Below are 13,955 nucleotides of genomic sequence, written 5' to 3' on the forward strand. Positions count from 1 at the left end.
TAGCTCTTATGTTTTACATTCCTTTACGGTTCTTTTGGTGATCACTCTTGAGATTACAGCACGCATCTTGACTTATTACAATATAAAAATAAGTGATTATTTTTACTACTTCTCCAATGATGCTAATACCTTAGAACACTTTTTAGATATTAAGATATATTAAACACCACAAGAATTATTTCTTTGTACAGCCCATATGAATTTAGATTTACCCACATATTTGCCCTTTTTTGTGTTTCTTTCTTCCTGCATTTCTATAATTTTATTTGGTATAATTTTCTTTTTCTCTGAGGAACTCTCCTCTCTCTTACAGTGTAGTCTGTTAATCATGAATTCTTTTAGTTTTTATTTATTTTTTATTGATTTATTTTTTGAGATGAAGTTTTGCTCTTGTCACCCAGGCTGGAGTGCAATGGCGTGATCTCGACTCACTGCAACCTCTGCCTCCCGGGTTCAGGTGATTCTCCTGCCTCAGCCTCCTGAGTAGCTGGGATTACAGGTGCATGCCACCACACCCAGCTAATTTTTGTATTTTTAGCAGAGATGGGGTTTTGCCATGTTGGCCAGGCTGATCTCGAACTCCTGACCTCAGGTGATCCACCCACCTCTGCCTCCCAAAGTGCTGGGATTACAGGCATGAGCCACCACACCCGACCTAGTTTTTATTTTTTTGAAAATGTCATTATAGCTGGGCACGGTGGCTCATGCCTGTAATCCCAGCACTTTGGGAGGTCAGGGTGGGTGGATCATGAGGTCAAGAGATCGAGACGATCCTGGCTAACACGGTGAAACCCCATCTCTACTAAAAGTACAAAAAGTTAGCTGGGCGTGGTGGTGGGTACCTGTAATCCCAGCTACTTGGGAGGCTGAGGCAGGAGAATCACTTGAACTGGGGAGGTGGAGGTTGCAGTGAGCCAAGATGGCGGCGTTGCACTCCAGCCTGGATGACAGCTCCATCTCAAAAAGAAAAAGAAAAAAAAGAAAAAAGAGAATATATCATCATACTTTATTTTTTTAAGGTATTTTTGCTGGGTAGAATATTCGATGTTGAAAATGTGTTTCCTTTGATCACTTTAATAATATTCCTCTATTGTTTTCTTACTTTGATTGTTTTTTTGAAAATGTGGCTATCAGTTATATTGCTGCTTCTTTGAAAGTTATGTCTTATTTCTTTTCTCTGGCTGCTTTTACGATTTCCTTTTTGTTTTTGTTCTCTAGCAGTTTGACTGTGACATGCTTGAGTGTGGTTTGCTTTGTATTTATTCTGCTTGGGGTTTACAGAGCATCTTGAACTGTGGCTTCCATCAGTTTTGGAAAATTTTGATCATTTCTTCAAATACTGTATCTGTACTATTCTCTCCTCTCTTTCTGGGACTCCAATTACACATATGTTAGATCTTTTCCCTCTGTCCCCTGTGTCTCCTTTGCTCTTTTCTGTATTTTCCATGCCTTTTTCCATTTATCCTTCAGTCTTGCAGGTTTAGAGGAGATGACTTATCTCCTCTGTACCTATACATTGAGAAATGGACACCTACAGAAGTGAGACTTTAATGGATAGAGGAGGCACTAGAGAAGACTTGCCAGAAGGAGTTGAGCACTGCTTTGTGCATAGCTCTGTGGTGGTTCCTGGGGCCTTCACACAGGAACTTACAATCCACATCATTAAGGCAGAAGGGGAGAGAGGAAAAGGGGAGAGAGGAAGACAGGAAACAAAAAGTAAAGAAAGAGGAAGCAATAATATTATTTGATTCTGTGTAGAAAGGATTTTGAAATTTGACCTGTGAAAACAAGGAGATGCTCATATGAGAAAAAGCAGGTCAGTGGGCCAGGAATGAAGAGTAGAGGGAATGGACCTTTGGGTATCCTATTATTTTTAAAAGGTAAAAGGTTGGGGGTCCCTTACTCCCAGAAAAATACTTTGCTTTTAAATATAGCTTATGAGACTCTATTGGGTTTCCTAAGAGGTAAGGTAACTCTCTTATGTTAGAAAACAGGCATTGCTTAGGCTGTTGGCTCTTGTTGCTTAATTTCCCAAAGATGCCAGTACACTTCGGATACTGTTAATACACCAGCAGCAAAGCTCTCTCTGGGACCATTGTGCCCCATCCCCCCAAACTTTTGTGTCCCTCATCTCAGTGGTAAAATTTAAAACAAACATTGGGTGAATGGGCTTGGGGTGGTTATTTTTAAAATTTTGCATGTAAGGACATTTAAAACAAAGCACCACTTTATACCATCACTTTATTTATCTTTTCAAAAGGACATTTTAACAGTGCAAAAGTATAAAGTACGTGCTTTAAGACAGAGGAGAATAAATGGAATAACTTAGTTTTGTGAAAGACTCACAGTATCACTTGGTTTCTGGACACGGTTCGAGACCTGGCTGTGGCTTGCTGTGGCCTTGAGAGCCATCCCACAGCAGCAATGCTGTTGGACCCTTTGGCTGGGACCTTCAGGACCCCCTGCAACAGCACTGTGTGCCCTAACCTGCTGGCATGATGCCCCTTTGTTGACAGGGCTGCATACAAGGCCAGCGACAAGTGGCAGGCAGTGACGCCAGCCTGATTTGCTGAGGGCACACGCCATGCTTCCTGCAGTGCCAGTGCTCTTCTGGGTCCACTTTGCAGCAGGATAGATGTGTTCTAGATCCAAGAGTTCTGCACCCTCAGCAGGGGTGCGGGAGTGTAGTTTTTTGCCTTCTCAGGAGCCTCCTTGGAAAGGGGCTTTTCTGTGTATTTCAGGAGCTCTGTGTTGGAGATGAGAGAGGTTCTTATTCTCTCCTGTTACAGATGAGGAAGCTGAGCCAAGAAGAAGCATATGGCCCAGGGCCATATGGTTATTTGTGACATCCCTGGGACTAGAGCCCAGGCCTCTGTGGTGTGTGTGGAAGTCTGAGCCTGGCCAGGCTCTGTAATTAGGCCCCAGAGGGGCTATAGGGCTTCCCTTCCCCCACCAGTCCAGTTCTGGGAACAGAGGGACAGATCCTGAGAACCTGTGAGAGCAGCCGCTAGGAACTCCTCTCGCCTTCCCGTGCCCCTTCCTGCCATGCTGGGGGCTGCAGCCCCCTCCCCAGGCCCCCTGTCCTCCCCTGAGGCTGGGGGCAGCTGGAGGATGCCAGGTGGTGATAGAGAAAGACTGAACACTGGGGATTCAGGAACACCTTGAAGCAAAGGGAAGCCTCCTGGGCTGCTGCATTTTCTGTGGGGATTTCTTGTCTATTAGATGAGGATTGTTGGATGCCTCAGTAAAAGCTGGGCTTAGCGCAGCGCCTGGTTTATAGTTTGCTGCTGTTTAGCTGTATCTTTACCCCTTGCTGGTAGAGAAACTCCCCCGAGCCCTTCTCTGTAAACAGGCCTAGTTTCTGGCAGGTAAAGCCAAAGCCCCAAGGAACTTTACTTACTCACCCCTGCCCTTAAGCACTTTTCACCCAGCCTGCTAGGAAGGGCCCTGTTTGTTGGAAGTTGTTTGATGTTTTGCTTTTTTTAACCTCCTGGTGTCCATCTGGGCAGAAGCCGAGTGACTGCCCACAGGAGGGCCCTGTTTGGCTCTGATGACCTCCTAGAGGGACTTTTGGGAGGATGGGGCCTTGTGGGGGACTGGGCTCCAGAAGTCATAGGAGGTTGGCCTGCAGCCTGTGTTCCTGCCTGGGGGAGAGCCTGCCCCTCCCTCCCCTGTCATTCCTTCATTGCATAACTTCTCTCGGAGAAACATGTCAGAAGCTTTCCTGGAACAGGCCAGGAGGGAAGCAAGGCTGCTCACAGTGGCTTTAGAGCCTGGAGCTTGTGCTGGGGCTGGTTTTCCTCCAGGACGACCTTGCTGGCCACGTGGGCCAAGCCGGGGGCGCTCTTAGAATGTGGATCTGAGCAGGGAGAGGTGTGAGGTGTCCTGAGGGCTGTGGGGGTGCCGAGTGGGGTCCCACGAGGACCCGGGGAGTGCCGGCTGAGGTGCTCATCTTCTGGAGTTGCCTCCAGTGCTGGCTGGTTCTAATGGAGGGCAGAGGCTGGCCTGGGTTCCTGAGCAATGCGCTGAGTCTGGGGCGGGAGGGCCTCAGTTTATTCTGGGTTCACTGGTGCAGGAGCTCGTGAGGCCAAGGTCAGGGTTGCTGGCCAGCTGGGCTGGTTTCTGTCCCCTGGGGAGCCTGCCTGTCTGTCAGTGGGCAGCGCCTTGGCCTGGCACTGGGCTGGTCGGTCCTGAGGGACGTGTGGGGCCTGAGGCCTCCTCTGTGGAATGTTCTTTTGGTCATTTGTTTAATAACAGGTCCTTGCCAGTGGAGAGCTGTGTGCCTGAAAGTGGCCAGAGAACAGTTTGAGGGGGGTCCTGATGGAGGGTGATGAGGGGGACACACCTCTGCCTGCAGAAGGAGGAGCTCAATGTGGCCCACCCTACAGCTGTGGCATCTCCGGTAACCTGTGGATCCACCTGCCCCTCTCGTGGGCTTGTCTCTGGACTTGCTTCAGGCAGAGAAGAATCCAGACACAGAGAGACATTGGTGAAGGTCACTGCAGTGCACAGGCTAATGTTGCCTGTCTCCGTTTATTTCGCTAAGTCAGATCGTGTGCTCGAGTGCTGGCAGGGCAGAGGTGGGCAGGCATCAGGGAGTTAATGTTTAAACGGGGACTGTGTCTCCCAGCTCTGAGCCCAGGGCTTTCTACAGCGAGAGAAAGAGCTGATGTACCTGCCAGGCACCCCCATCCCAACACAGCAGACATCTGTACCATGTGTGTTGTCACTCCTGAGGGCCAGGAGGCTCAGCTTATCCTGCCCCATGCTGCCCAGTACGGAGCCGCCAGCCGCACGGGGCCTTGGAAATGCGGCTGGTCCACAGTGGGATGTGCTGAGTATAAAACACACATGGTGTTTGGAGACTTTGTGCACACACACAAGTGCAAAATATCTCTAATAATATTTATTTTGATTACTTGTTGAAATGATAACATTTTGGGTATATTAAGTAAATTATACTATTAGAATTCATTTTGCATGTTTCTTCTTGCCTTTTTCAGTGTGGCTGCTAGAAAAGTAACAATTATATGTGTGGCTTGCCTTCTATTTCTTTTGTTCTGCGCCGGCCCAGCCTTTTTGAATAGAGTCACGAGAACAACAGCAGCTGCTTGTGTGGCCTTTGTGTGTTCCTGGCCCGGCGAGTGCTCTACTCACGCCCGCACGACAGCCTGTGAGGCAGGGGCTGCCCAGACTGCTGGGGACGTGGAGGGTGCACTGTTGCCCAGGTGTGGGTAAAAATGTATCGCAAAAACATTTTTTTAAAAATTGAGTTGTCTTCTTTTTAGTTTTAAAATGTACTTTTCATTAAATTTTCAACAAGTTCTGTATTTTTCATAAAAGTCATGCATAATCACTGTAGAGAATTTGGAAACATGCAAGCAGATGCCAGTTTCCTTGCGCCTTAAACAGAGCGTCCTGGTGTGAGCCCTCTCCCCCAACAGCCCCCTGCTGCGATGTTGCCTGGCTGCCGGGCAGTGGGGCTGTGGCGCTGCGATGTTGTCTGACTGCGGGGCTGTGGGACTGCGATGTTGCCTGGCTGTGGGGCTGCGGGACTGCGGGGCTGTGGGACTGCGATGTTGCCTGGCTGCGGGGCTGCGGGACTGCGGGGCTGTGGGACTGCGATGTTGCCTGGCTGCGGGGCTGTGGGACTGCGGGGCTGTGGGACTGCGATGTTGCCTGGCTGCGGGGCTGCAGGGCTGCGGGACTGCGGGGCTGTGGGACTGCGATGTTGCCGGGCTGCGGGGCTGCGGGACTGCGGGGCTGTGGGACTGCGATGTTGCCTGGCTGCGGGGCTGTGGGACTGCGGGGCTGTGGGACTGCGATGTTGCCTGGCTTCGGGGCTGCGGGGCTGCGGGGCTGCGATGTTGCCCGGGTGCGGGGTGCGGGGCTCTCCGAGGCCGGCTCATCGTGCGGCCGCTCTGGTCTCAGCCCTGCCGGCCATGGTCACCGTGCCCAGCCAGGTGCTCTTCACCCTCTTTCTGCTCACCCATGCCTACCCGGAAAGCCAGCTACAGCTGGGTATAAAGGAAGAGAATACTGGCCCTGGGTGAGGTGTGGCATTAGTGGCACCTTCTGGGCTCCTGGGCAGGGGTGGGGAGTGGCTTTCTTGAGCAGCTGGGATCATTCATTGACTGATTTTTGGATAAATGAGGTGTTAGTGGACCTTGATTCGGAAGATTGTGAAAGAGGATAATGGGAAGGCCTGGCACCCCACGGTCCTCAGATGTCAGTGTTTGCCAGCCCCGCAGAAAGGGCAAGGTGGGCGAGAGGGCCTTCCATTACCCAGCGAGGGCTGCGCCTGAGCCCCGCGAGTTCCCCTGGCTTGGATTAGGGGGAGCCAAAAGTGTTCTCACTCTCACCACCAAGTGCTTTGTATGCCTGTGGCAACACCTTTCCTGTTCCAGTGAATTAGGGAAGTCTAGGTGATGGGAGGCTCTTCAGACAGACCTGAAGCGGGTGGTTGTGTTCTCAGGGTGCCCTGTGTGGTCGGGGTGACGTTGGTCTGTGGACCATCCCTGGTCCGTCTTCCCATTTGTGCTGGGTCCTTCCCAGGTGCTTCCCAGCTGGCATTACTTTGGGGTGTCCGTGTGCCCGTGAGCCTGTGAATTATCAAAGGTGATGGTGTGGAGTGGGGGATTCCTGAATCTTTTTCACTGAAACACCTACCTCGAGCCAAATGTTCTCTTAAAACAACAGGTGGCATCTCCCACCTTGTTCCCCACTTTTCAAAATGCTGGTGTGGCAGCGAGGGCCCCTGGTGCAAGCGGTGTCTGTGTGGTGCTGCCCCAGGCCTTGTGGGTGGGCGAGCGGGTGGCCCCAGCCCTGCGTGAGCACTGAGTGCCCGCCCCCTCCTCCTTGCAGGTCTGGCCGTGGGCCTGGGCTTCGGGGCACTGGCAGAGGTCGCCAAGAAGAGCCTGCGCTCCGAGGACCCCTCAGGTGAGCCGGGCCCTTCAGTGGGAGGGGCAGGGTGGGCCCCGGGAGGGTTGAGCCTGTCAGCCCCCAGCCCCACCTGTGCTCTGGGAGTGTCAGCCAGCTGGGCCGCATTTGCATGGGGTTCCACGTAAGTGGCGTCCCTGGGGTGATGAGGCTGTTCATACAGACAGATTGACCTGCTTTAGAGGGGGTGAGGCTGGAGGCCCTTCCTCCTCCCAGCCCAAAGTGGCCACCCAGCCCCTTCTTTTTGGCTGCCTGCACATCCACACGCCTTCTGCACACCTGGACACCTTACACACCCCCTGCACACCCACTGAACACCCACACACAACCCCTGCACACCCACCGAACACCCGCAGACCTTACCCCTTCCACACCCAGCGAACACGCGCACACCTTACACACCCCTTGCCCACCCACCAAACACCCGCACCTTACATACCCCTTGCACACCCACTGAACACCCACACACCTCCTTATACCTCCTGCACACCCACCGAACACCCACAGACCTTACACACCCCTTGCACACCCACCGAACACCCGCACACCTTACCCCTGCACACCCACCGAACACCCGCACACGTCACACACCCCCTGCACACCCACCAAACACCCACACATCTTACCCTCCACACACCCACGCACCTTTTTACATCCTCCACACACCCACCTCATACCTGCACACCTCCTTACACACCCTCTACACACCCACCACACACACCTGCTTACACAGCCTCCGCACCCACTGAACACCCGCACACCTCCTTACACACCCTCCACCCACCCACCACACACCTGCACACCTCTTTATCCTCCACCCACCCTCCACCCACCCGAACACCTCCTTACACACCCTCCACATACCCTCCAAACACCCGCACACCTTGCACACCCTCCACACACCCACCTCTCACCCACACACCTCCTTACACACCCTCCACACCCACCAAATACCTGCACACCTCCTTACACATCCTCCACACACCCACCGAACACCCACTGAACACTGCACCTCCTTACCCTCCACACACCCCCCACAGCCACACACCACCTTACACACTCTCCACACACTCTACCCTCTACACACCCGCCCACCTTACACTCCACACACCCGCCCACCTCCTTACCCTCCACACACCTGCCCACCTCCTTACACACCCTCCACACACCTGCACACCTCCTTACATCTTCCACACACCCACCTCATACCTGCACACCTCCTTACACACCCACCTCACACCCGCATACCTCCGTACACACCCACCTCTCACCCGCACAGCTCCTTACACACCCTCCATGCACACACCTCCTTACACACCCACCTCATACCTGCACACCACCTTACACACCCTCCACACACCCACCAATCACCCACTGAACACTGCACCTCCTTACCCCTCCACACACCCACCACACACCCACACACCTTACCCTCCACACACCCGCACACCTCCTTGTAAACCCACCTTTTGCTGCTGCCCTGCTCTCTGGAAGTCGCTGGTCTGGCCGGGTCAGGTGTGGCTGGGGACAGGCGAGGTGTGCAGGCAGACCCTGCAGGCTTCTCCTCACCAGCTTAGTAACCTGGGGAGGCTGTAGTCTATGCAGAGGCACCTCACCTCTGACGTGAAGGTCACAGCCAGGGTCAGGCAGGTGGTCAGGTCAGGACACTCATCCCACTGAGGTTGGTGGCCCGCTGTGGCCGGGCCCTCTGTGGAGAGGTCCTGCGAACGGACCACGCTGAGGCTTTGGGCATTCGTGCTGCTGTGATGAGGAGTGGGGCGCACTGAGTCCCTGCCGCCTTCTGCCTGTGAACACCAGGCCGGGCTCCTCCTCAGGCCTCTTCAGGCACGGGGGGCGGGCCAGGTAGGTGCGAGGTCAGCCCAGCAGGGGCTTTCCTGTTAGTGGGGCCTGGGGTGTGGAGAGCAGTGCCAAGGGAACCGTCTGCGTGTGGATCTTCCTCAATGCCTCTGGAGTTCTGGGCCAAGTCCCCTGGCCCCGGCCCATTCAGGGAATGTCAGCTCATTCTGGTATCACGCCCTTCCACCCCCGTCCATGGGGACCCCCAGAGACACCCAGTGTCTGGCCACACTGCAGCCCTCACAGCCCTGTCTTCCAGCCTGGGCTAGCCTCCTTTGGGGGCCCTGCCAGTCCCCGGACAGCCCCCCTTCACCCACCAACGCTGCCTTCTGGGGCAAGGGCACTAGTCCATCCCACAGGCCCGGACTGAGTCCTGGGGACACGGGCGGCATGCACGTCCTTGGAAGGGGCTGAGGACGGAGGGCTTAGCAAGGGTATTTTTAGCGTTGGTGCTGACACTCTCTGGGAAATGAAGCCTGGGTTTCTCTGGAAGGAGAAGCCAGCCTTCCCCTACTGTCCCCTACTGTCCTCTCCAAAGCTGGCTGTTCTCCAGACTACCTCATCCAAGCAGGGAAGAGGCCAGGCTGGCTTCACAGTTACAGCTAGTGTCCTTTGTCAGGGACAGTGGTGACCCCAGGCTGGGGGTTAAGGGGCCCAGGCATTGTTAGCCCTGAGAGGGGGACCCGAGGCTTAGGCTGGAGTGGGGTGGCCCTGGGCAGCCCCAAACTGTGCTCCAGCTTCCTGACCAGGCCCTGGCACCCTCTGGACTGGAGGACACCGGCCACCCTGGCTGAGCTCTGCCCTGGAAGGACCTTTCCTGAGCTGGGGGCACACTGCCGTAGCCCTGGGCCCATCCCCACTTGCCAGGTCATTCTCACAGCCAGCCCTGCCTGGGTGGGGGACATACCTCCAGCCTGTGGCATTGACCAGCTTTGCCAATGGGCTACCTGGGAAAGCCCGGATTGGGCCAGGCACCGTTCCCATCTCTCAGGAGTGCTGCTGCTAGCCTAGGCCTACTCTGTGTGTCATGAGGAGACAGACTGTCCCTCCTCTGGCCTGGGGCAGTGGCCTCTCCTCAAGGTTTGCCTCTCTGCCTGCCCCTCCCCAGGGACCCAGGCCCAAGCCCCCAGCCCACAAGTACCACAGGCCTAGGGGGCAGAGGGGACATTGACTGCCTTTCCTTTGGTGCTGGCGTCTGCTGCTGCCTAAGGCAAGGGGGTGGCCGAGGGACCCTTCTGGGCCCAGCCCTCTTGGACTCGCTCTGCCCATGGGTCATAGCTCAGCCTCCCAGGGCAGCTCAGCCTCTTCCCGCAGAGCTAACATCTCCCACCTTCACAGGTCCCTTCCTGCTGTCTGGGACCCTGGAGTGAGCCTGGCCCCTTTCCACGTAGCTGCCTGCATGTGTGGGCAGATGCGGGTCTTCTCCGAGGCTCCTCTTCCGGGCCCGCAGGGCCTCCATTCTCAGGGCGGCCCGCCCCACCCTGGTTTCTCAGGGGCCAGGCTGCACCCGGCTCCGGGGCAGAGGGCAGTGGCACGGTCACCTCTCTCTTCCCCTGCTGGGGACCTGGCTCCGTGCCACCCGAGCGCTGTGCCAGGCCTGAAGTGATTTGAACTGAGGCAAATGCTGGGTGCTGTGGGGGCCAGAGAGGAGGAAGCCGCACTGCGACCTCTTGGGGCTTGAGATCTAACTAGATTCACAGGACAGAAGGCAGGAGAAGCTCCGAATGTCACAAGGGCTGGAGGCCCGGCGACAAGGGGTGCTGAGGAACTCAGGGAAGGTGGAAAGACTTGGAGCCCCAGATCCCTGCTCAGGCCTCTGTCTGCCTCTGGATAGGGGCACCTCCATGTCTAGGCAGCACTGAACTGATGGCCCAGGATAGGGGGGAAGCTAGAGAGGACCCAGCAGCCCTGGGCCACACGCCTGCTGGCAGTTGACTTAGCCGGCCTTCTGCTGCTCCTGAGTCGCGGCCCTCAGCCCTCCCCTTGGTGGACTGGAAAAAGGCCACCTGCACCCTTGGGGTCACTGCATGCTCATCACTGGCCAGCTGGCTGCACTGAGCTGCAGGGGGCCTCTGTGGGTGGACGGGAGAGACGGGCACCCCTGGGCTGTGCTGCCCTTGGCCTGAGCGCCGTTCCCTTGAGGACAGCCCTCTGGCTGAAGCCACTTGGCCCCATGTGCAAATGCATGCCGACCCCACAGGTGCAGCGGGCCTTTGTGCAGTGCCCTGGGTGGGGGTGCACAGGGCAAAGGCTCGGCACCTCCTCACCTGGGGTCCTCTGGGTCCCTACATCCCTCTTGGTTCCCACTCCCACGCCCCTTCCAGCCACAGGCAGCACCATGGCCCTGTCACGGCCCGCCAGGTCCCCATATGGAAGGGAGAGGCCCTTTGTGTGTGTGCGTTTGTGTGTGCACATATGTACGTGTGCATGCCTGTGTGTATTGGGAGGCGCTGGCGTAGGGCCTGGGCATGTGGCTCACACAGGCTTGGGGAGGTGGACATGGAACAGTAGTTAGTTATGTTGCTGGTTTTATGGACGCCTGGGAGGAAGGACATTGTCTGAGCCTCCGTCTGTATCAGGTGGGGCTTGCCATCCCACTCCCAGACCCCCCCGAGTGCCGTGGTGACCCCTCTTGCCCGCCCACAGGGAAGAAGGCCGTGCTGGGTTCCAGTCCTTTCCTGTCCGAGGCCAATGCAGAGCGGATCGTGCGCACGCTCTGCAAGGTGCGTGGTGCGGCACTCAAGCTGGGCCAGATGCTGAGCATCCAGGGTGAGTGGGCGCGGGGGCTGCTGCCCCGGGACTGCGTGGGCTGCTGGGGGGGTCAACTTCCAGGGCCGGGAGCAGTGGCCCCACCAAAGCTCAGTGGGCAAGATGTGAGCAGGCTGGGGAGAGATCTTAGAAGATAATAGGCCTGGTCTCCAGACGGGTGGCTCTGGGTCCAAAGAAACACATGGAATAAAGAGCAGAGAGGAAAAATTGCTCTCTACAGGTGGTCAGAACACAGGTCATTTCAACATTTTACTATGTTTTATTTTCCAAATTTCTTTTGTAATTATGAAAAACTCTGCATGTTGAGTGTAAAAAGCCCACCTTCTCAGGTCACTGGGCGGAGGCTGGGGCTCCCGGGAAGCTGAGTGGCCGAGGGCGTGTGTGCGAGGGCTCCTGTCTTTCTGGCCTCACCCGTGCTCCTGGTGGGGAGGGTGTGGTGGCCAGGGCATCCCAGGAGTGTGCCCGCCCAGGTCCTGGGCGCACACTTTAATCCCCAGGTTCGCCCTGTGTCATTCTCCTGCCTTCCAGATGATGCCTTTATCAACCCCCACCTGGCTAAGATCTTCGAGCGGGTGCGGCAGAGCGCGGACTTCATGCCACTGAAGCAGATGATGGTGAGGAGCCAGGGGCTCTGCCCACTCTCTGTGGCCTCGGCCCCCACTGGGTGGAGGGGACAGACTTGGGGCTTCTCCCGGTGGCCCAGGCAGGGCATGCTCAGAGCCCCTCCCTGGCCCTGCCCTTCAGAAAACTCTCAACAACGACCTGGGCCCCAACTGGCGGGACAAGTTGGAATACTTCGAGGAGCGGCCCTTCGCCGCCGCATCCATTGGGCAGGTGCACTTGGCCCGAATGAAGGGCGGCCGCGAGGTGGCCATGAAGATCCAGGTAGGCGGCCTGATGCGCAGTGCCTGTCCCTATGGGGGCTGCAAGGGGCAGAGCTGGGGCCTGGCTCATGGAGGCCTCTACACCCCACGTCCCGCAGGGCACCCTCTCTCCTGGCAGGGCCATATGTGGTGTCTTCTGGCCCCAGTGCCTGGACGGCACCAGAAGCTTGGGAAGTATTTGCTAAATGAGTGACTTTGGGGGCACAGAGGGGCCCCCAGCAAGCTTGATTTGGGGTGGGCAAGGACAGGGGACAAGTGATTGCTTTTTGGGGCCAGAGCTGGTGGGAGGGTGGCCGTGAGCTGTTCCCAGGGGTGAGGTGAGGCAGGAGTAGGTGGACAACGAGGCTGTGATGGGGTCCAGGTCACGGCAGCATGGCTGGGTCTTAGCTCTGGTTCTCCAGGGTGTGGGCTGGGGCCAGGACACAGCTGGGAAGCCAGTTGGGGGTTGGGGGAGTGCCCCAGGCAGGGCCCACCCGTCTCCCTGGGCTAACTCCCCTGCCTCACCCATACCCCCACAGTACCCTGGCGTGGCCCAGAGCATCAACAGTGATGTCAACAACCTCATGGCCGTGTTGAACATGAGCAACATGCTTCCAGAAGGTCTGAGGCTAGGTGGTTGGGTCAAGGGCAGGAGTGGGTGGCAGGCATCTGTGTTGGGTTCTGGGGACCAGAGGGGGTCCTCCCTGCAGAGCCCCCTTCCTCGCTGATGCCCTCCTCCCTGGCCCAGGCCTGTTCCCCGAGCACCTGATCGACGTGCTGAGGCGGGAGCTGGCCCTGGAGTGTGACTACCAGCGAGAGGCCGCCTGTGCCCGCAAGTTCAGGTGTGGCCCCCGGCCGGGCCCCTTGCGTGTTTGCACCAGGGAGGCAGAAGGGACCATGTTCAGCAGCTGGTGAAGGCCCCTCCAGCTCTGAGGGGCAGAGGGCTGGGGTTGCAGCCTGGGCCGAGGCCATATCCTGCCTGGGGTGAAGGAGGGCCCTCTGCCTGGTTGGGGGGTGTGTGTGGGGGGGGGGACGGTGTGGAGGGCCTGTGGCTAGGGCGTGACCTCCCTCCCCTACCCAGGGACCTGCTGAAGGGCCACCCCTTCTTCTATGTGCCTGAGATTGTGGATGAGCTCTGCAGCCCACATGTGCTGACCACAGAGCTGGTGTCTGGCTTCCCCCTGGACCAGGCCGAAGGGCTCAGCCAGGAGATTCGGAACGAGGTTTGTCTGTGCCAGCAGACAGGTGGGGCCAGGGTGGCCCTGCTGTGTGGCTGTTTGGTGACCTAATAGTGTGAGCTGGGGACTTGGAGCCCTGAGGTGCTCCCTGGGGGTGAGGGGCAGTGAAGTAGCACCAGTGGGACTTAGGGGGACACAGGGGAGCTGCTGCCTTCCCTGGCCCAAGTAACACTGGGAATCAAACAGTCCCTAGGGTAGGGTGGGTAAAACAGGAGGCAGGGGCTTCTCTGGCCCCAGTCTCCCAGGGCACCAGGCAGTGTGGTGCTGCCTGACACAGACCCTTCGCGCT

At 56.8% G+C, this 13,955-nt stretch overlaps 1 protein-coding gene across 10 annotated transcripts in view, besides 3 other annotated features; it reads left to right on the forward strand.

Moving 5' to 3' along the window:
- COQ8A (coenzyme Q8A) overlaps positions 1 to 13,955 on the forward strand; it is a 47,251-nt gene that overhangs the window by 30,291 nt on the left and 3,005 nt on the right. For all 10 annotated transcript variants that reach the window (XM_047425745.1, XM_047425732.1, XM_024448517.2 and 7 more), the window contains 7 exons: positions 6,865 to 6,939; positions 11,443 to 11,565; positions 12,094 to 12,179; positions 12,310 to 12,450; positions 12,968 to 13,049; positions 13,177 to 13,270; positions 13,510 to 13,651. In XM_047425745.1, coding sequence (XP_047281701.1) covers positions 6,865 to 6,939; positions 11,443 to 11,565; positions 12,094 to 12,179; positions 12,310 to 12,450; positions 12,968 to 13,049; positions 13,177 to 13,270; positions 13,510 to 13,651 — 743 coding nt within the window. The remainder of the gene's footprint in view (positions 1 to 6,864; positions 6,940 to 11,442; positions 11,566 to 12,093; positions 12,180 to 12,309; positions 12,451 to 12,967; positions 13,050 to 13,176; positions 13,271 to 13,509; positions 13,652 to 13,955) is intronic.
- Positions 1,250 to 1,450: a silencer, noted in NCBI's record as "peak738 fragment used in MPRA reporter construct". NCBI's record gives its function as "represses an SCP1 promoter by STARR-seq MPRAs in K562 erythroleukemia cells {active_cell/tissue: K562}" and the evidence as "EXISTENCE:reporter gene assay evidence [ECO:0000049][PMID:32103011]".
- Positions 3,244 to 3,857: an enhancer, noted in NCBI's record as "H3K4me1 hESC enhancer chr1:227161529-227162142 (GRCh37/hg19 assembly coordinates)". NCBI's record gives its function as "activates a minimal SCP1, AML or CMV promoter by ChIP-STARR-seq in naive H9 embryonic stem cells {active_cell/tissue: H9 hESC(naive)}" and the evidence as "EXISTENCE:reporter gene assay evidence [ECO:0000049][PMID:30033119]".
- Positions 8,061 to 8,809: an enhancer, noted in NCBI's record as "H3K4me1 hESC enhancer chr1:227166346-227167094 (GRCh37/hg19 assembly coordinates)". NCBI's record gives its function as "activates a minimal SCP1, AML or CMV promoter by ChIP-STARR-seq in naive H9 embryonic stem cells {active_cell/tissue: H9 hESC(naive)}" and the evidence as "EXISTENCE:reporter gene assay evidence [ECO:0000049][PMID:30033119]".

This window comes from Homo sapiens, chromosome 1, assembly GCF_000001405.40.
Source record: "Homo sapiens chromosome 1, GRCh38.p14 Primary Assembly".
Lineage (NCBI taxonomy): Eukaryota > Metazoa > Chordata > Mammalia > Primates > Hominidae > Homo > Homo sapiens.